The 20513-nt window shown below is 39.2% G+C and overlaps 1 protein-coding gene and 1 non-coding gene across 7 annotated transcripts in view; both read right to left on the bottom strand.

Moving 5' to 3' along the window:
* Nucleotides 1-20513, bottom strand: part of RC3H2 (ring finger and CCCH-type domains 2) — a 60804-nt gene that overhangs the window by 25656 nt on the left and 14635 nt on the right. For 5 of the 6 annotated variants that reach the window (NM_001354479.2, NM_001354482.2, NM_001354478.2 and 2 more), the window contains exons 4-9: nucleotides 20101-20334; nucleotides 12993-13168; nucleotides 10383-10583; nucleotides 9782-9914; nucleotides 9544-9662; nucleotides 7260-7372 (exon numbers count right to left, since the gene is read on the bottom strand). In NM_001354479.2, coding sequence (NP_001341408.1) covers nucleotides 7260-7372; nucleotides 9544-9662; nucleotides 9782-9914; nucleotides 10383-10583; nucleotides 12993-13168; nucleotides 20101-20334 — 976 coding nt within the window. Of the gene's footprint in view, nucleotides 1-3574; nucleotides 5158-7259; nucleotides 7373-9543; nucleotides 9663-9781; nucleotides 9915-10382; nucleotides 10584-12992; nucleotides 13169-20100; nucleotides 20335-20513 lie in introns of those variants that run through there. The other variant, NM_001354486.2, reaches the window with a different exon arrangement.
* SNORD90 (small nucleolar RNA, C/D box 90) lies at nucleotides 10002-10108 on the bottom strand. Its single transcript, NR_003071.1, has one exon. It is a non-coding gene; the product is annotated as a small nucleolar RNA, C/D box 90 (small nucleolar RNA).

Below are 20513 nucleotides of genomic sequence, written 5' to 3' on the forward strand. Positions count from 1 at the left end.
TAAAAATACAAAAATTAGCCAGAAGTGGTGGGACATGCCTGTAATCCCAGCTACTTGGGAGGCTGAAGCAGGAGAATTGCTTGAGCCTGGGAGACAGAGGTTGCAGTGAGCCGAGATTGTGCCACTGTACTCCAGCCTGGCCGACAGAGCAAGACTCTGTCTCCAAAAACAAACAAACAAACAAACAAACAAACAAACAAACAAAAAAAAAACAACAAACTGAGATAATCCACAAGGTTGCTCTAGAAAGCAAAAAATAAAGTTTTAACTATGAACCTCTCAAAAAAGAGTCAGGAGAAATAAAATCTTAACCAAGTGAGGTAAAGCAAGTGACAAGTAGGGATATACACTGAATTCTTAGTATTGGGGCAGCTAAAGGCTGCCTTTTCAGGGACAGGATCTCACTATGTTGCCTAGACTGCCTTAAATCCTAAATGCAAGTGATCCTCCCAGCTCTGCCTCCAGAGTAGCTGGGACTACAGGTGTGCACCACCATGCGTAACTCTCCCTATTCTTTTTAAATCCCTTCTTACCCATCTTAGAATCCACTATCTACCATTAATCCCTCCCTTGTAAATAATTTTTAACTCCCTTGATCCACTCCCTCTGTATCTCATTTGGTAAAAGCTCAATCCAATTCTTTACTTATTTTGTGCCTGCTACCAAGCAGCTAAATGTTGGAGAAAAATTGTGCAATCACGCTGTCTATAATCCCTTCAAAATTATAAATAATTCATTAATACGCTTCTTTACTAAGTTCATTTTCCCATCTCCAATAGCCTTTTCCCTTCCACTTTCAACCACCCCTCCTACAGCTAGATGATATTGTTTCCCACTTAACCACGAAAATAGATGAAAGCAGAGGAGAATAATTTATCTTTCCGCTACCAATTCCAGTAACCTTCCTGCACCTGTAGCCACATTCCTCTTAAAGATAAGGGACAATGAGTTCCTGTTCCTGACTAAAGCCAGTCTCACCACCTGTGGCCTAGGTCTCAAGCCCATTTGCCTTCCTCTAAGACTTCACTGAGGTAATTATCTTTTTTTCTCGTGGGCACCTTCTTTGACTACCTGCTCAAATGTTGTATCTTCTTTTTTTTTTTTGAGACGGAGTCTCGCTCTGTTGCCCAGGCTGGAGTGCAGTGGCGCAATCTCAGCTCACTGCAAGCTCCACCTCCCAGGTTCACGCCATTCTCCAGCCTCAGCCTCCCGAGGAGCTGGTACTACAGTTGCCCACCACCAGGCCCGGCTAATTTTTTCTGTTTTTAGTAGAGACGGGGTTTCACCGTGTTAGTGGGGGGGGGGGTTTCATCGTGTTAGCCAGGATAGTCCCGATCTCCTGACCTTGTGATCCGCCTGCCTCGGCCTCCCAAAGTGCTGGGATTACAGGCGTGAGCCACTGCGCCTGGCCAAATGTTGTATCTTCTAAGAGTCTTTCCTACACTATTCTATCTAAGAGATCTCCCCTTTCTCAATCACTCTTTTTCTCCTTTGTGTTTTTTTTTCATACTGCCTGTCATTACAAGATATTATGCTATATTTATTTATTTCATGTCTGTCTTCTTACTACAATGTAAGCCCCCGGAGGACAAGACTTTTGCCTTTCTTGCATCTCTCTATCTTTAGCACACAATACACTGTCTCATAACATCCCAAGTGCCCAATTATTATTATTATTTTAAAGGCAGAGTCTCCATCACCCAGGCAGGAGTGAGTCACCATGCCCAGCCAATTTTTTTTTTTTGTAGTAGAGACAAGGTCTTGCTATGTTGCCCAGGCTGGTCACAAACTCCTGAGCTCAAGTGATCTTCTTGCCTCAGCCTTTCAAAGTATTGGAATTACAGGCGTGAGCCACCTCACCCGGCCCCCAATTATTATTTGTTGCATTAATATAGAATAAGCTTCAAACATCATTATGGCCAAGAGAACCACTGATTTTCTGCCCTGATGCATTTCCCATTTCAGCAAGAGACCACTAAGTTATGCAGGCTCCATACCTTGGAGTCATCCTTGATTCCTCTCTTTTCTTTATAGCCCACATTCAATTGGTCCATGTTGTCAGCTCTACTTCCAAAATATATCCTAAGTATGACTACTTTTCATCATTTCCATTGCTATAGTCCTACCCGAGCTACCAAACTCCCACCTGTGGACCAATATAGAAGTTTAACTTGTCTCCATCCATGCAGACACCAGAGTGATATGTCTAAGACAAAATGAAAATTTCATCATTCCATTTAAATAAAACTCTAAAATGACTTCTTATTGCAAACAGAATAAAATCCAAATTCTTTGCTATGGCCAAAATTGCTTATTTACATGTTTACTGTTCCTCTTTTTCCATTAGAAACATCTTGAATAGTAACCAGTATATAATAATCTTTTATAACTTTTTTTTTTGAGACAAAGTCTCACTCTATCACCCAGGTTGGAGTGCAGTGGTGCTCACTGCAACCTCTACCTCCCAGGTTCACGCGATTCTCGTGCCTCAGCCTCCCCAGTAGCTGGGATTACAGGCGTGCACCACCATGCCCGGCTAATTTTTGTATTGTTAGTAGAGACAGAGTTTCCCCCATGCTGGCCAGGCTGGTCTCAAACTCCTGACCTCAAGTGATACACCAGCCTTGGCCTCCCAAAGTGCTGGGATTACAGGCATGAGCCACTGCTCCTGGCCACTATTTGTTGAGTTGGTTGATCCCTCGCTTTTGACACTCCCCAGAATGTAGCAATTCTTTGGAACATAACCCCAACATCCTAGTTCTAAAACATATCCACATATTTACATAATATTTATTCTACATATTTATTTTATGTTTACATATAATAAATATGTATTCTAAGAAGGGATTATTGAGCATCCACATTTTGTTTGGTTAGAGGGGTGTATAATAGAGAAAGAAAATATAGGTAAAATTAATTTATTTAAGTTGAACAAACATTTGCTGAATTTCTGGTGTTATGTGAACTAAGACAAACAGCCTATCCTCAAAAAGCTCAGAGTGAGGTAGCAATATGTATTTTTTAAACTGAAAGGACAGTCACATCACCTACTTTTCTAATCCTTTGTATTATCCCTGTTTGTTTAAACAGCAATAGAGTGTGAAGCTGGTTGGAAATAAGAAGTAAGAACTGTATATTATTTGCTCCTCCACATAAACATACTGAGTTTATGTTATCAGGTGTTTTCTAGATGCAGGAAATATAAAGATGAAGAACCCTTGCCAGGTGCCATGGCTCATGCCTGTAATCCTAGCACTTTGGGAGGCTGAGGTGGGCAGATTGAGCTCAGGAGTTCGAGACCAGCCTGGGCAACATGGTGAATCCCCATCTCTACAAAAAATATAAAAAAAATTTAGCCAGGCATGGTGGCGTGTGTCTGTGGTCCCAGCTACTCGAGAGGCTGAGGTGGGAGAATCCCCTGAGCCTGGGAGGCAGAAGTTGCAAGTGAGCCAAGATCATACCACTGCACTATAGAGTGAGGCCCTGTCTCCAGAAAAAAAAAAGATTAATAACCCATGAGATAAATGAAGTCCAGTGAAAACACACATGTAAATAAACAATTATAATACTGTAGTTTTATAACTATACCATAATTTTTATTTATTTATTTATATTTATTTTTTTGAGACGGAATCTTGCTCTGTCGTCCACACAGGAGTATAGTGGCGCCATCTCGGCTCACTGCAACCTCTGCCTCCCAAGTTCAAGCCATTCTCCCGCCTCAGCCTCCCGAGCAGCTGGGATTACAGGTGCTTGCCACCACACCCAGCTAACTATACCATAATTTTTAAACTACTATGTATGGAGTGCTATGGCAGCATGGTGAAGGATGCAATTAACACTGCCTAGGGAAGTCTGTGGAGGGAAGATAATATCTGAGTATGATTAGAAATAGTTATCCAGATAAAGAGGAGAGAGAAAATAATACAATATGGAATAAACAATATAGACAAGTGAAAAGAAGAGTAAAAGAAATTTATATAGTAATCAACAGTGATTAATTGAATATACCTTAAAAACAAAGTATACAAATGGCAGAGTAGAGCTAGAGGATAAAATCAGGATGAGATTCTGTGATGTACTGAGGAACTAATTAAGAATTTAAAGGAGACACACATATTTTAAAAAGAAAATAGTGGAAATGGAAAAGACAGATTGAGATATAGGAAGATACTGGATAAAAAGCCACTGAAGCAGTAAAACCAACTGGATTACCATGTGAAACACTAAAAATGTGACCAATAATTTTGCCATTATTATTATTTTTGAATGAGTGATATTTTATATATTTATTATTTTATTATTTTTATTTATTTATATTTTTGAGACAGAGTCTTGCTCTGCTGCCCGGGTTGGAATACAGTGGTATAATCTCAGTTCACGGCAGACCTGACCTCCCGAGTTCAAGCAATCCTCCCACCTCAGCCTCCTGAGTAGCTAAGATGACAGGCGTATGCCACTATGCTCAGCCAATTTTGTTTATTTTTTTGTAGAGGTGAGGTCTCACTATGTTGCCCAGGCTGGTCTCAAACTCCTGGACTCAAGGTATCCTCCTGCCTTTGCCTCCCAAACTGCTGGGAATACAGGCATGAGCCACTACACCTAGTTTGGCTATTATTATTTTTACTGCTACTATTACAAGTCTGGCAAAATATAATAAAGTTCTGAACTAGGTACTGCAGATGAAGAATGTGAAGTCTGTTTGAAGGTATGAGAAAGAAGAAAATGGATTTTCAGCCTGGGCACTAATTGAGGGTGGAATGGCAATGAAACCACAGTTTCTTCTCTGACTTTTTTAGTCGAACTTTCTCAAAAGCTCCCCTTTTAGCTAAAAAGCTCTATTTCAGGTATGGACAAGCTGAATGTATTTCCTGGAGTCTCCCAAATTATCTTGATGTGAAATTCTGTATATAGAACTAGTTCGATTGGGTACAAACAGCATCTTTTTTCCTTAGGACTCCTTAATCCTCTTCTCTAGGCACTTCAAGTGGGGAAAAAAACTGAGAAGAGAAGCATGTTTCTGCTCTTTTCACTGCACACACACTTATCTTCTCTCTATCACAATGCTGCTGCTTGTAGAGCTCATTATGTACAGTGCCCAAGCTAGCCACTGAGGAAAGGAGACAACAATGAAGATATAGTCCACGGGGGTTACACTTATGTAAGATAGACAAACATTTAATAAACAGATCATGGGCCATAGTTTCTGTAAAGGGTTTTTATAAATAAAGTTTACAGCCATGCCCAATTTATGCATTGTCTGTGGCTGTTTTTTTGCTACAGTGGCACTGCTGAGTGGTTGTAACAGATTCTGTGGCCCACAAAGCCAAAAATGTTTGCTAGCTGGACTTCATAAAGAAGTTTGTCAAGCTCTAAAACAGGCCACTAATTAATTTTATGTGATAAGTGTTTGAAAGAGGAAGCTGGTTAGTATGAAGTGTCAGGGGAATTACCCTGAAAAAGCGAAGGATGAGCTAGACAAAGGAAAGGTCTCAAAGGCAAGGCTAGGAGTAACAGCATTATGTAAAAGACCTGAGGTGGGAAAGAGCACAGTGCATACCACAAACTGAGAGAAGGTCAGTGTGGCTTGAGTACAATTAGTGTTGTGTAATGAGATCAGAAAGGCAGACACAGATTAGATGATGCAGGGTCTTAGAGGCCACAACATAGATTTTATTTCTTAATCTACAGGACAATGAGAGGCTATCAAAGGCTTAGGTGAAGAAGGGTGGTATGAGTAAATCTGTGCTTTTAAAATATTTCTGTTTTAAGGGAAATAATGGGAGAAGGGGTGGACAGCGAGAGATTTAAGACTAGTGAGAAGGCAACAAGGGATCGAGAAAAGGAGATGACAGCTTGGATCACAAGGATGGAAAGAAGAATAAAGAACTGAGAAATATATAGGAAGATGAATTGGCAGAACTTTTTGACTGATTAAGCAGAAAAAGCTAAGGAAGGACAGCTGACAAATATGATTATTATAACACAGCATATATAACAGGCTGGATGGCTAAACTGGGTACACGAGGTGAGTACAATGGAAGGCAGGAGGAGGAGGTATGGGAGAAAATTAGCTCAGTTTGTTTAAAGTATCTAAAAACAAAATGAATATGCCCACAAAGAGTTGATAGACAGGGCAGGTGTGGTGGCTCACGTCTGTAATCCCAGTACTTTGGGAGGCCAAGGCAGGCAGATCGCTTGAGGTCAGGAGTTTGAGACCCGCCTGGTGAACATGGTGAAACCCTGTCTCTACTAAAAATACAAAAATTGGCCAGGCATGGTGGTGGGCGCCTGTGGTTCCAGCTACTCGGGAGGCTGAGGCAGGAGTATCGTTTGAACAGGGGAGGCAGAGGTTGCAGTGAGCCAAGATCATGCCACTGCACTCCACCCTGGGCGACAGAGCAAGACTCCACCTCAAAAAAAAAAAAAAAGTTGATACACTGGCCAGCAGAAAGTAGAAAAGCTGGGATCAATTTTTTGGTGAGGTCTCAAAAATGAAAGTCTTAGTTAAAAAACAAAACAACAAAAATTGGATAATAGTATTAAACCTTACATACATTAACTTTTAGGTCTCGGGTAAAGGGACATAGAAAAAGGGGTTAACCATAGGAGAAGAGAAAGAATACACAGGGAAAAAGAATGTTAAAAAGACCAAAAGCCGTAAAAAGGATATATATCTGCTTTACCATTTTGCCTGAGACTTTGCTGCTAGGTTTAACTGAATCTGAGCAAATAAGACTGCAAGTATTTTCATTCTGCACAGGTGCTCAGTATAAATATGGATTCCAGCTATAAAATGGTCTCAAAATATGACCACTGAGTAAAGTTCTAAATCACTTATGTAAATCTTGTACCCAGATCTTATATGTTTTGTTGTGAGGCAGAGTCTTGCTGTGTCCCTCAGGCTGGAGTGCAGTGGTGTGAACACACTCACTGCAGCCTTGACCTATGGGGTTCAAGCAATCCTTCCACTTCAGTCTTTTGAGCAGCTGGGACCACAACTGTGGGCCACACAGCTAATTTTTAAATTTTTTGTAGAGACGGGGGTCTCCTTATCTTGCCCAGGCTGGTCTCAAACTCCTGAGCACAAGCAATCCTCCTGCCTCAGCCCCGCAAACTGCTGGGACTACAGGCATGAGCTATGGTGCCCAGCCCTTAACTTGCATTTTTGAAAGTCATCACAAACTTCAGGACTGTATATAACATTCCCATAAAAATCAAAAATTAAACCCATATGAAACAGAATTCTCAACACTTACTTTTCAAGCTCTTCCTGAGAATGGGCAAATGTACAATTTGTTCCTCGTGGACAACCCCCTTGCTGTCGCAAATCTCGGCACATGCTAGTCTTGTATTTGCTGTTTGGCTGAGGCTACAAAAATGGGAACACATTCAATGAGTGGCAAGGTGAAGATTCCATTTGTTATTCACTCTAGGAAGTTCAGAACTTTATAATTACACCTTTAATTCTTTTTCACATTAGACAAGTAATTCTTGTGCTGAAACAACTAATATTCCATTGTTTCCTGTTGTGAGTTATGTGACATAACCCTGAATTGGCACTTCAGATATTCCTTCTGAAGATTATTCGAAACTGGTTCAAATGTTATGTCCATTTATTCATTAGTTAACAGAATGCCCAGAAAAAGAAAATATTTTTTCATCAATTTATTGCTGTCTTAAAATTCTGCTACCAAAATCAAACAATTTTAAAAAGCATTAAAAAAAAACCAAAAGCTTTGTCTACTTAAACTTTCTCAGAAAAGGTAGAATACAATTCCACCTAGAAGTGAAAAATTACCAATTCACTTGTCAGCTTGAGGGTGCAACTCTCAGGCTTAAACTATTTGAGTTCATACAATGAGGCAGAATATTAAAATTTCACTATTACTTCTACAATTTGCATCAAAATCTAAGACATTCTTATTCTTATGAGCCTAGGATGAAAACATTTGTTTTTAATATTTTAAGTTATAATATCTTCTAAGAATAAGGAGAGAAGAGTACAAAGTGTAGGTTTGATCCCAGCTCTTACTGACAGCACAACCTTTTTTATTTTTTATTTTTATCTTTGAGACGGAGTCTTGCTCTGTTGCCCAGGCTGGAGTGCAGTGGCGCCATCTCAGCTCACTGCAAGCTCCACTTCCCGGGTTCAGGCCATTCTCCCTGCCTCAGAGAGCTCCCAAGTAGCTGGGACTACAGGCGCCTGCCACCACGCCCGGCTAATTTTTTGTATTTTTAGTAGAGATGGGGCTTCACCATGTTAGCCAGGATGGTCTCGATCTCCTGACCTTGTGATCCGCCCGCCTCAGCCTCCCAAAGTGCTGGGATTATAGACATGAGCCACCGCGCCCAGCCCCCTGACAGCACAATCTTATGTTATTTAACCTCTTTGAATTTCAGCTTGGAAACAGCAACTACATTGCAGGTGGCTGTGAGGATAAGAAATAATACATGTAAAACATTGAATGTAGTGAATGGCTCATAATAATTTATTAAATAGAAGTTATAAGTATAAAGGATTATATCTTAACTTCTTTTTATTTTATATTTTTGGAGACAAGAGTCACTCTGTCGCCCAGGCTGGAGTGCAGTGGCGCGATCTCGGCTCACTGTAGCCTCCATCTCCCGGGTTCAAGCGATTCTCCTGACTCAGCCGTCTCAGTAGTTGGGATTACAGGCATCCACCACAATGCCTGGCTCATTTTTGTATTTTTTTTTTTTTAGTAGAGATGGGGTTTCACCATGTTGGCCAAGCTGGTCTCGAACTTCTGGCCTCAAGTGATCCACTCACCTCAACCTCCCAAAGTGCTGGGATTACAGGCGTGAGCCACTGTGCCTGGCCAGGTTTATATCTTAACTTCTAAAGTACACTGAAAAGTATCTTGAAAATTCAAATTTCGGCCAGGCACGATGGCTCACGCCTGTAATCCCAGCACTTTGGGAGGCCGAGGTGGGCAGATCACCTGAGGTCAGGAGTTTGAGACCAGCCTGGCCAACATGGTAAAACCCTCTCTACAAAAAATACAAAAATTAGCAGGGCGTGGTGGCACTTGCCTGTAATCCCAGTTACTTGGGAGGCTGAGGCAGGAGAATCACCTGAACTCAGGAGGCAGAGGTTGCAGTGAGCTGAGATAGCGTCACTGCACTCCAGCCTGGGTGACAGAGTGAGACTTTGTCTAAAAAAAAAAGAAAGAAAATTCAAATTCCATAAATTTACATATAGAAATTCAATACAGAAAAAAAATGACAATTTCCCACAGTAGAAAAGAATGAGACAAAACGTTTGGAATCAATTATCTACATTTGGTCAAAAATATTCTGCAATAAAGTATACTCACACCCAAGATACCCTCTAAACTCTTGGTGTGCTATGAAATGTTTACCAAGTACACTAAAAACTGGGTTCCTCCCAAAAGAATAGAGATGATAGAAACTTATGAGTCACATACGGAGTCCAATTAACAAAACAGCTGGTTAAGATGTTCAGGATGAAACTGAGTTAGAGACAACAGCAGTCAGAAATGTAATAAATGTACTTACCTGAGGGGTCTCATGGCCTTTTCTACTATAATTTTGTATGAAGTCCACAAGGCCATGAACTACTGTTTTAACAGCTACCATTGCATTTTCCAGCTGCTCCCAAGTTGGTGAAACAGCGTCTAAAATAAGCCACCAAGGGCATGGGGGTTGGGGGGGAAGAATGTTAGCAGTAATTCTCTTGTGTTATTCACCTCAAAAGTAGAAAAAAATATAAGCAACTGAGCATATTCCCACATACCTGGATTAGGGTCTATGTTTGCAAGAAGCTCTAAATGAGGCCTCAGTCTATTTAAGTTAGCTGGGTCACCTGTTCGTTGCAAAACAATTGTCAATTCCTGGACACTCTTTGCAAATGACTCTGGAGACTGTAGCTAACAAACAGAAATGAGAATGCTTTTTACTTTGGTTCTTATGACACATTTATACTCAAATACTTTCAATTTATCAACATATTTAATACGTTTTCAAGTGTCTTCAGATTCCACAGTAGGAGTATCAGTGATGAATTAAATTTTCACCTCAGAATCTGCCCTATGAAATTCATCATTAGACACTTAGAAAACTTATAAGCTGTATTAACTCTCTGAGGTCAGAATATAGATAAATTTGAGACTTTGTAAGCCTCACTGCTTTTATGCTAGTATCATGTATTTGTTTCCCTGTTGCATCCCTTTATTTTGCAAGTAGAAAAATAAAAAGAAAATAAGGATAATTTATAAGAGTCTGACATTTAAAAACATAGGAATCTCCAACTGTTTGTGTATAGACTCTTTAGAATATTCTAATACTCTTCAATGTAACAGCAATGATAGAACATCAGCATCTCTAATTTCACAAACCTTATCAATGATAGACTGCATGTGTGATTTATGAGCCAAATCACCATACAAAAGAGAGGACCACTGTTCAGGTGAAATACGGAGTCCTGCTTCCATGGCAATATGAACAATTTGGGCATCATGTTCTCTGCGTAATGCTTCATAACTCCGAAATTCCTCCTTCAGCTGCATTAGGGAAGAGTCTTCATCTCTTTTGGTAACCTAAAAAATAGAAAAGAGAAAAATCAGAATTGGTCTGTGCTTTCTCCCTTCAACTGATTCGTTTATTCCTTTTTCAGGGAGGGTGGGGGATACTTACATATCAGACACCACAGAAATAAGGTACAAAGATAAGATAATGTCCTGACCACAAATTCTTTCTGGAACAAAACAGAACTTACATAACTAAATACATAATCCTTGCCTTCAATGATTTCAGCCACTAGTAAGAAAGAGAAACTTGTAAGTAGAAAATTATAGTAAAAGTTATAAGGCTTGATGGCAACAAAGAGGAAAGGGAATTAAATTAGGGAGAAGAAAGGGATTTCAGAAAAGGCTTCTCCCAGCTGAAAGCTACATGAATTGATTTGTGCACAATAAACAGGAGTTTCCTGAGCAAAGAAAGGTGAGGAGGCCAGGGATGGTGGCTCATGCCTGTAATCCCAGCACTTTGAGAGGCCGAGGTGGGCAGATCACTTGAAGTCAGGAGTTTGAGACCAGCCTGGCCAACATGACGAAACCCCATCTCAAGAAAAAATACAAAAACTAGTCAGGCATGGTGGTGGCAGGCGCCTGTACTCCCACCTACTCGGGAGGCAGAGGTTGCAGTGAGCTGAGATAGCACCACAGCACTCCAGCCTGAGGGACAGAGTGAGACTCCGTCTCAAAAAAAAAAAAAAAAAAAGGAAAAAAGAGAAGGGGGAGAAATAGAATTTTTAAAAGAGAAACAAGTGGTGAAACAGAAACATGAAAAAGCAGAGCACATAGGGTTAAGATATGATACAGGCTAGAGAAGAATACAGGCCATTATATACTACGGCAGGGAATTTGGATATTATTATGAAGGGAATGTGAAACCACTGACTTTTTTTGCAGGGGTGGGGATGGAGAGGACAGGGTCTTTGTCACCCAGGCTGGAGTGCAGTGGCACAATCTAGGCTCGCTGTAGCCTTGACTTTCTGGGCTCAAGCAATCCTCTCGCTTTGGCCTCCCAAAGTGCTGGGATTACAGGTATAAACCACTGCACAGAGCTGATTGAGGATTTTTAAGCATAGAAGTGACATGATCAGATTTATGCTTTAAAAAACATCACTTTGGTAACAGTAGAGGATAAAGATAGACAAGCAAGGAATCCAGCTAATAGGTAGGCATATATTACCACTACCACATGATAATTAAGAAATTTTCTAGGGAGGCTGAGGCAGGAGGATGGCCTACGCCCAGGAGTTCAAGGCTGCAGTGAACTATGATGGCACCACTGCACTCCAGCCTAAGCAACAGAGCAAAAGTCTGTTGCTTTAAAAAAAAAATGAAAAGAAGAAATGTTCTGCTACCAGAGAAATTATCATCAGGGTATTTACATAGCTTTAATTTCTACTTAAGTAGTAAAAAAAACTACACATTCAAAAGATACAGAGTTTTACAGGGCCTAGTGAGGTTGTGTGTGGAACCAGAGATTAATTTCAATTGTTGCCCTAAGAGCATGAAACTAAACACTATGACTATGAGGCAGCTAGTGTCCAAGCCTCATTAGTGGAGTTAAATGAATTCACTTCAACACATTTCTATTATCAACTACCTGTTATCTCAAACTAAGTGTTCTGCCAAAGAAACATTTTTCTGTCTGTACTATTTTCACTCTTGGGGGCTATAAAACCAACAAAATAACCTAAATAAGCTTTGGTTTCAAATTTAAATGTTTTACTTTCATAGAAGCCAATAGGCCTTTCTATTTCCAAGTACATGAGCCTTTCTCAAGACCCAGCCAGCAACCTACACTCTTGGATCATAAAAACACTTTAAGGATTCAGCTTGCTTTCAGTATCTGTCACTACCCGCTAGACTATTAGACAATGAAACTACATTTTAAAATATCTTGGGGTTCTTCTCTACCCTTTCCACTAAACAAAAAACAACATCTAAAAGCAGAGTGGGCCAATCTCCTCAACTTTCCATTTCCTGGTTGTATCTGAGATAACATGTAGGCCATTTTCAGATTAAAGGTGTTAATCTAATCACTACAGAGAATGAGATAACAAACATAATAATGGGTTACAAAGTTTACATACTCCTTATGAAGTTTCCAATATAGTCTGATTTCAAGACACTAAATGTAAAGAAATGAGGCTTCTGCAGTCCACTTTTACTTGATAAGAGTCAAGTTTACCAAATGATTTCCTTATGTTCTTTCCGTTACTGACATCTTCACATATATGCTCTTATTTTGCCAATAGATAGTAATGGGTACTACCAAAAGGTGGTATCACAGATGCAATCAATGCAGAAGGAAAGTTTCCTCTCAACTCTTGTAAGCATTCTGCATTGCTAGGGCCTCTAGACTGGGTAACATGAATTTCAGGAAGTCTCTGTCTCACAAACAGGCATGTCTTTACATAGATACTTACTGCTTACCTTAAAACAAGAAGCTCGATACAGTAGTTGCACAACATGACCAATACTTGTTTTTGATGCCTGAGGAAATCTTGGTTCTAGTCTCTGCACAACAAAAAGTACCAGAACTTTCCTTGAGAGGGCAGAACCATCTTCTAATGCCAGTAACACCAGCTTCAAGGCCTCTTCTTGCATAGCTAAAAATATTAAAGGAACATGAGTTCATGACAAATGAGGAACCCATCAGATCATGTGTGTCATAGGCATCTTTGGGTATTAGAGTTTATAGTGGCCCATTACCCATAATTTATATTTAATTAGCACAAAGAGGACATCACACGTACATAATTTAAAAAGTAATCAAGCAAAATAAAACATACTTTCCATAAATAAAACATATTTTCCACTAAATACCAATCAGAACACAAGTTAACAGAACTTAAAATATATTCTGTATTTAACAGTCAATTAGATGATGATAATGTTAAGGTAAAAAAAGTCATTTATAAAACACATAGCTGGGTGTGGTGGTTCATGCCTGTAAATCCCAGCACGTTGAGAGGCCGAGGCAGGACGACTGTTTGAGCCCAGGAGTTTGAGACCAGTTTGGGTAATATAGGGATACCCTGTCTCTACAAAAAAAATGTTAAATATTAAAAAAATTAGCCAGGCATGGTGGCACGTGCCTGTGGTTCCAGCTACTTTGGAGGCGGAAGTGGAGGATCACTTGAGCCCAGGAGGTTGAAGCTGTAGTGAGCTGTGATCACATCACTGCACTCCAGCCTGGGTAACAGAGACCAACTCCATCTCAAACAAATACATAAAAATTAGGCCGGGCGCGGTGGCTCACGTCTGTAATTCCAGCACTTTGGGAGGCCAAGGCGGGCGGATCACCAGGTCAGGAGATCGATACCATCCTGGCTAACATGGTGAAACCCCGCCTCTACTAAAAATACAAAAATTAGCTGGACGTGGTGGCAGGCACCTGTAGTCCCAGTTACTTGGGAGGCTGAGGCAGGAGAATGGCATGAACCTGGGAGGTGGAGCTTGCAGTGAGCCGAGATCGTGCCACCACACTCCAGCCTCAGCAACAATGCGAGACTCCGTCTCTAAAAAAAAAATTAAACACACAGAACTACTCTGACAATGATATGCAAAGGACCCACAGTAGGCTTATAATAAATGGTATTGTTTTCATGCATGAGACTGTTACTTTGCCTGTCAGAACTATTTTGTATATAATTTAAAAAATGATATTAGCCTCTGAATGCAAAACCCAAAGAAGGTATTAATTTCATTTATGTTGCTTTACAGCCAAGGATATATGGTATAATCTGAAGTTAATCATTGGAGAACATCAGACAAACCTAAATTAAGAAATATTCTGAGACTGGGCACGCTGGCTCATGCTTGTAATCCCAGCACTTTGGGAGGCCAAGGTGGGCACATCACCTGAGGTCATGAGTTCGAGACCATCCTGGCCAACATGGTGAAACCCCATCTCTATTAAAAATATAAAAATTAGCTGGGCATGGTGGCGTGCATCTGTAGTCACAGCTACTCAGAAGGCTGAGGCAGGAGAATCCCTTGAACCCGGGAGGTGGAGGTTGCAGTGAGCCGAGATTACGCCACTGCACTCCAGCCTGGCGACATAGCGAAAGTCCGTCTCCAAAAAAAAAAAAAAAGAAATATTCTGTAAAACAAATGGTCTGTATTCTTCAGGAATATCAGTGTCATGAAAGGCAAAGAAAAGCTGAGGAACAGTTCCAGAATAAAGACGACTAAAAAGAGACATGACTAAAACGTATAGAAAGTGATCTTGAACTGGATCTCACACTTGAATAAATACTATAAAAGATATTTTTGGAATAGTTGACAAAACTGGAATATGAACTACAAATTGTATATAGTACTGTATTGTATCATTAATTTTTAAAAATTTAATGAATGTAATATTGTTACATAAGACAGTATCCTTGTTTTTAGGAAAACTAAATACTTTAGTTTTAAAGTATTAAAAGGAAAGGAGCATAAAACAAGCAACCTACTCTCAAATGGTTCAGAAGAGAGGGAAAGAATAACAAATATGGCAAAATATTAGAAAGTGCTGAATGTCGGTAAAGAATATATAAAAAATTCTCTGCATTATTCTTACAACTTTTCAGTAAATACGAAATTATTTCAGAATTATAAATTACAAATACATGGTTATTAATCAAAACAATAGAGCTTAAGAGCTGAAAGATTATCTAGATTCAAAATACAAACCTTTTTTCTAAGTGAGGCTACTGAGGTCCAGAGAAGTTAAGTGATTAAACCAAGGTAACGTATCTAGTTACCAACAAAATTGGAACTATAATGGCAAAAACCACAATTACTTTTGCACCAATCTAATAGAACCAAGGACTTTTAAAATTCTTTAAATTTTTTCTTTTTTTGCCTCCCAGGGTTTCTCTGCTGGCAAGGACTTTTTTAAAAATTGAGATAAAATTAACCATTTTAACCACATAATTCAGTGGTATTTACTACATTCACAATGTGTACAACCATCAACTTTGTCTAATTTAAGACATTTTCATCACCCCAAAGGAAACTCATCACCATTAAGCAGTCACTGTTCATACACTCTATACACAGCCCCTGGCAACACTAGCTGGCTGTCTGGTTTCTTTCATTTAACGTGTTTTTTGTTTTGTTTTGTTTTGTTTGTTTTGTTTTGTTTTGAGACAAAGTCTTGCTCTGTCACCCAGGCTGGAGTGCAGTGGCACGATCTTCGCTCACTGCAACCTCCGCCTCCTAGGTTCAAACGATTCTTGTGCCTCAGCCTCCCGAATAGCTGGGATTACAGGTGTGCACCACCATGCCCAGCTAATTTTTTTCTATTTTCAGTAGAGACAGAGTTTTCCCATGTTGGTCAGGCTGGTCTCAAACTCCTGACCTCAAGTTATCCACCCGCCTCGGCCTCCCAAAGTGCTGGGATTACAGGTGTGAGCCACCGTGCCCAACCTAACGTAGTTTTTTTGAAGCTCATCCACATGCAGCATGTATCAGTATTTATTCCTTTTATGGCTGAGGAATAGCCTATTTATGGATACATTACATTTTGTTTATCCATTTATCACTTGATGGACATTCGGATTGTTTCCACCTTTTGACTATTGTGAATAACGCTGCAATAAACATTTGTATACAAGTATTAGTTTGAATACCTGTTTTCTATTCTTTTGGGTATATACCTAGGAATAAAACTGCTGGGTCATATGGTAATTGTTTAACTTTTTAAGGAACTGACAAATTGTTTTCCAAAGCAGCACACCATTTTACGTGCCCACATTCTCCACGTTCTCATCAACATTGGTTATGTTCCATTTTAAAAATTATGGCCACTCCCAGCATTTTGGGAGGCCGAGATGGGAGGATCACTTGAAGCCAGAAGTTCCGAAGTTACAGTGGGCTATAAGCGTGCCACTGCACTCCAACCTGAGCAATGGAGCAAGACCCTGTCTCTAAAACAATGAAATAAAATAATGGCCAAGTGGGTATAAACAAGTATGTCCCTGTGATTTTGATTTGCATCTCCCTAATAACTAAATACACTCAGGGTTTTTTCATGTGCTTGTTAGTCATCGTGTCTCTTCTTTGGAGAAATGTCTATTCAAGTTATTTACCCACTTTTAAGTTAGGTTGTATTTTTGTTTCTGAGCTGTAGAACAAAAGAGATGTGACACCTAGTCTAGTGCTTCTTAAAGTAAACATCAGGAAATATCTAAAGGTAACATTCTTAAATTCTATATAAAAGTAGATTTTTAAAATATCTTAAAACTTTGTATAATGGAAAATTTGCCTCACTTTTAGTAATGCTAAGATTTATCAGTGGGTTCAGACTTTATCCATCTGCTATAAATTTCCCCAGTAACCTCTCGTCTAATGGGTTTAACAGCCACAAATAATTCTTGCTGAAGCCCATTAATACATTTGGGGATGTAAAATTGTGATTTTTCTAATTGTATCATTTTCTAAATGTATTATTAGTTTGAATTCAGCTAAAAGAGGAAACTTTCCTCAATATATAAGAACTCTCCCTGAAATTGTTTGTACATATTGTGTTTCAATCCTTTGGAGTCATTCATTATGATGTTTAAATTGCCCCACTTACATCTAGTAGGAGCTCCTTCATGTTCAACTTTTGTCCTTTCAACAAAATTGTCTCTCCCTCCTCTCTTTCTCTGGGGGTCAACTGATCCTCCCACCTCAGCCTCCCAAAGTACTGGGATTATAAGCTTTTTTGCTTCCCTGCTCCCCGCCCAGCACAAGACTTCCTACCCTAGACTGGAGTAAGGCATTTACCCAAAGAGCCCTGCCTCCTTTTAGTGGGAAATGGTATATATGAAAGCCCATAATCTGGGTGTTATGGTTATTCATCACTTCTAAGCATTTTCAGTGGACAGACCTTGGACACTGGCATTTTTTAGAAAAACAATTGAGTCCGTACTAATATTGCCAATTCAAATTTAAGACTGCAGGAGTTTTACTTAAATCTTTGATTTTATACTTGTATCTTTTTTTTTTTTTTTTTTTTTGAGATGGAGTTTTGCTCTTTCACCCAGGCTAAAGTGAAGTGGCATGATCTCGGCTCACTGCAACCTCTGCCCCGAGGTTAGGGCAATTCTCGTGCCTCAGCTTCGCGAGTAGCTGAGATTATAGGTGCCTGACACCACACCTGGCTAATTTTTTCTATTTTTAGTAGAGACAGGGTTTCGCCATGTTGGCCAGGTTAGTCTTGAACTCCTGACCTCAGGTGATCCACCCGCCTCGGCCTCCCAAAGTGCTGGGATTACAGGCGTGAGCCACTGCGCCTGGCCTTGTATCTTTTTTTTTAAATGCTGAAAGTCTTGGTTCTGGTGGCATTAACATAATTATTTGCTTGCTTGTTTTATCCAACTGTGTGTCTGTTTAAGTTTCTAAATAACAAGACCAGAATTATGAACAATATGACAAACAAATATAATTTAGGATTTATTATATATTCCACTAGGGATATAAAAGTCAAAACACTGTGTTCTAAAGTAACCTGAAATAATTCATTCTCAAATGAATATGCTACCAACTTGTTTTAGCTTTATTTTTAGGTATTATTTTGATCATTTTTAATTAAATTTAAAAAATATTTAAAGTTGTTTTATAATTACATAAAATATTTATGTGGTTCCAAAGTACAAAACAAGATAGAGTTGGCAAAGTCTAGCTTCTGTCCCTGTCTGCTTTCCCTTGATTCCTCGTTCTTCTACATACTGGTATTAGTCTTCTATTTTTTTGCCATTGTTTCTTTTGGAAAATTTAAATGAATAAGTGGATTTTCTCCCTCCTTCTCTTACTTAGAAAGTACTATACTGAGCAAATTATTCTGGACCTTGCTTTTATTTTTTAACTTACCAACGTATCTGGAGGTCACACCCTAGCAGAATATATACTTCTTCCTCATTTCTTTCGACAGCTGCATAGTACTACACTGGAAGGATATACCACAGTTTATTATACTAGTACCTTATTACGCATAGGCATTCAGGTTGTTTCCAGATGTTTGCTATTACAAATAGTGCTTTTATAACTGTATGCATTCTGTACCTTCTGTTGTCTCTTTGGGATAGATTCCTAGAAGTGGGATTGCTAGACCAAAGGGTAAACACAGAGGTAATATTTTCAGATGTTGCCAAATTCCTTTCTTTAAAAGTCTGTACCACTTTGCATGCCCATGACTACTGGATGAGAGTACCTCACACCCTTGCCAACAGAATATATTTTCAGACTTTAAGATTCTGCCAATCTGATAGGTGAGAAATGGTATTTCTTGCATCTTTTGTCAATTTTTCAGTTGGTTGTTGGTCTTTTTCTTCTGAATTTTTAGACATACCTTATATATTAGTTATATTAGTCCTCTGTGTATGTTTGTTACGTAATTTATAAATATTTTCCCCAGTTGGTCTTCTTTTTCATTTGCTTATAATTTTTTTGTGATGTAAATTAAACACAAAATTATATAGTCAAATATCAGTTTCTTCCCTTATTGTTTCTAGATTTTGAGTTAAAGTTAGAAAAATGTTCCCTACTCACAGGTTATAAAGAAATATATTCTTTTATTGGTTTTTATTACCAGTATATTTTTATTTTTAATAAGGATTTCTGACGTTTGTAATTTATATAGTTTATAGAGAATAAGAAATGCATCTAATTTTGCTTTTTCCGCATTTTGATCTAGTTGTCCCAACATCACTTATTAAAAGTTTCCTTTCCAAAAATAAATTCTACCCGAACTGTAGTTCTAAATCACAAAGTTCAAACAATAAACCTTCAAGAAGAAAACACAGGAGGGAACTTCATTACCTTGGTATAGGTGAAGATTTTTTAAGACAGAACATAGATAACACTAATCATAAATAATTATCCCCTAAAAACGATCAAGAGTTTAAACATTTTTTTTCAGACCAAAAAAAAAGCTTACCTTTCTTTGGCTTATTACGTGTTCAATCTTAGGCCTCTAACTTGGTTTTCTAATTTGTAAAACTGTAGCTATATTGCCTATCTTGATGGCAATTGAAGCTTAAATGAGAAATTTTGTTTTAAAACACAAAAGCACTGTCTATCATATAAATTAAGATTAATAAAAACGGATTTATATTGGCTGGGTGCAGTGGCTCACGCCTGTAATCCTAGAACTTTGGGAGGCTGGGGCAGGCAGATCACCTGAGGTCAGGAGTTCCAGACCAGTCTGGCCAACATGGTGGAACCCTGTCTGTACAAAAAATAGAAAAATTAGCCGGGTATGATGGCGTGTGCCTGTAGTCCCAGCTACTTAGGGGGCTGAGTCAGGAGAATTGCTTGAGCATGGATGTCGAGGCTGCAGTGAGCCAAGACTGCGCCACTGCACTCCAGCCTGGGTGACAGAGTGAGACCCTGTCTCAAACAAAACAAAACAGCAATAACAACAACAACAAAAACAAATTTATCTTTAATTATATCAAGATTTGTACATATAAAGACGGGTTGAGTCTCAGGATTCACCGAGCTCCAGAAATTGGCATCCTCAAGCCCCAATAGCTAATAAAAAAGGTAAGATAGTAACCTATCTTACCTGGCCCTAAAAACTGGCATCCTCGAGCCCTGACAGCGGCCCATAGATTGGCAGACAACTGCTGAGGGTTCTGGTGCTGTAATATCAGTTCTGTTACAGTTCTTTCTCCAAGGGAACGAGCTGCTCGCATGGCTCTTACACGACCTTCTTCCTCCACCAGTTGACAGTTTACAAGTGTCACCAGTTTCCTTTGCATTGGACGGCTCAGTGCACTCTGGTTCAAGCTAGCTACACCTTTAGGAAAAGGGAAACAAAGGGAGCTAAAGTTTTTTCAATAAAAAATAAAAGTCAATTTTCATTATCTGCATTTAACGATTAAGCCACAATTCCTAATGAGTCCCTTGTAATGTGCTTTCATTTTTCTAACAGTATTCTGTCTCTGTTTGTTATTATTCTATAGTAATAAGAAGCCT

The sequence above is a fragment of the Homo sapiens genome, chromosome 9 (assembly GCF_000001405.40).
Source record: "Homo sapiens chromosome 9, GRCh38.p14 Primary Assembly".
In the NCBI taxonomy this organism is placed as follows: Eukaryota; Metazoa; Chordata; class Mammalia; order Primates; family Hominidae; genus Homo; species Homo sapiens.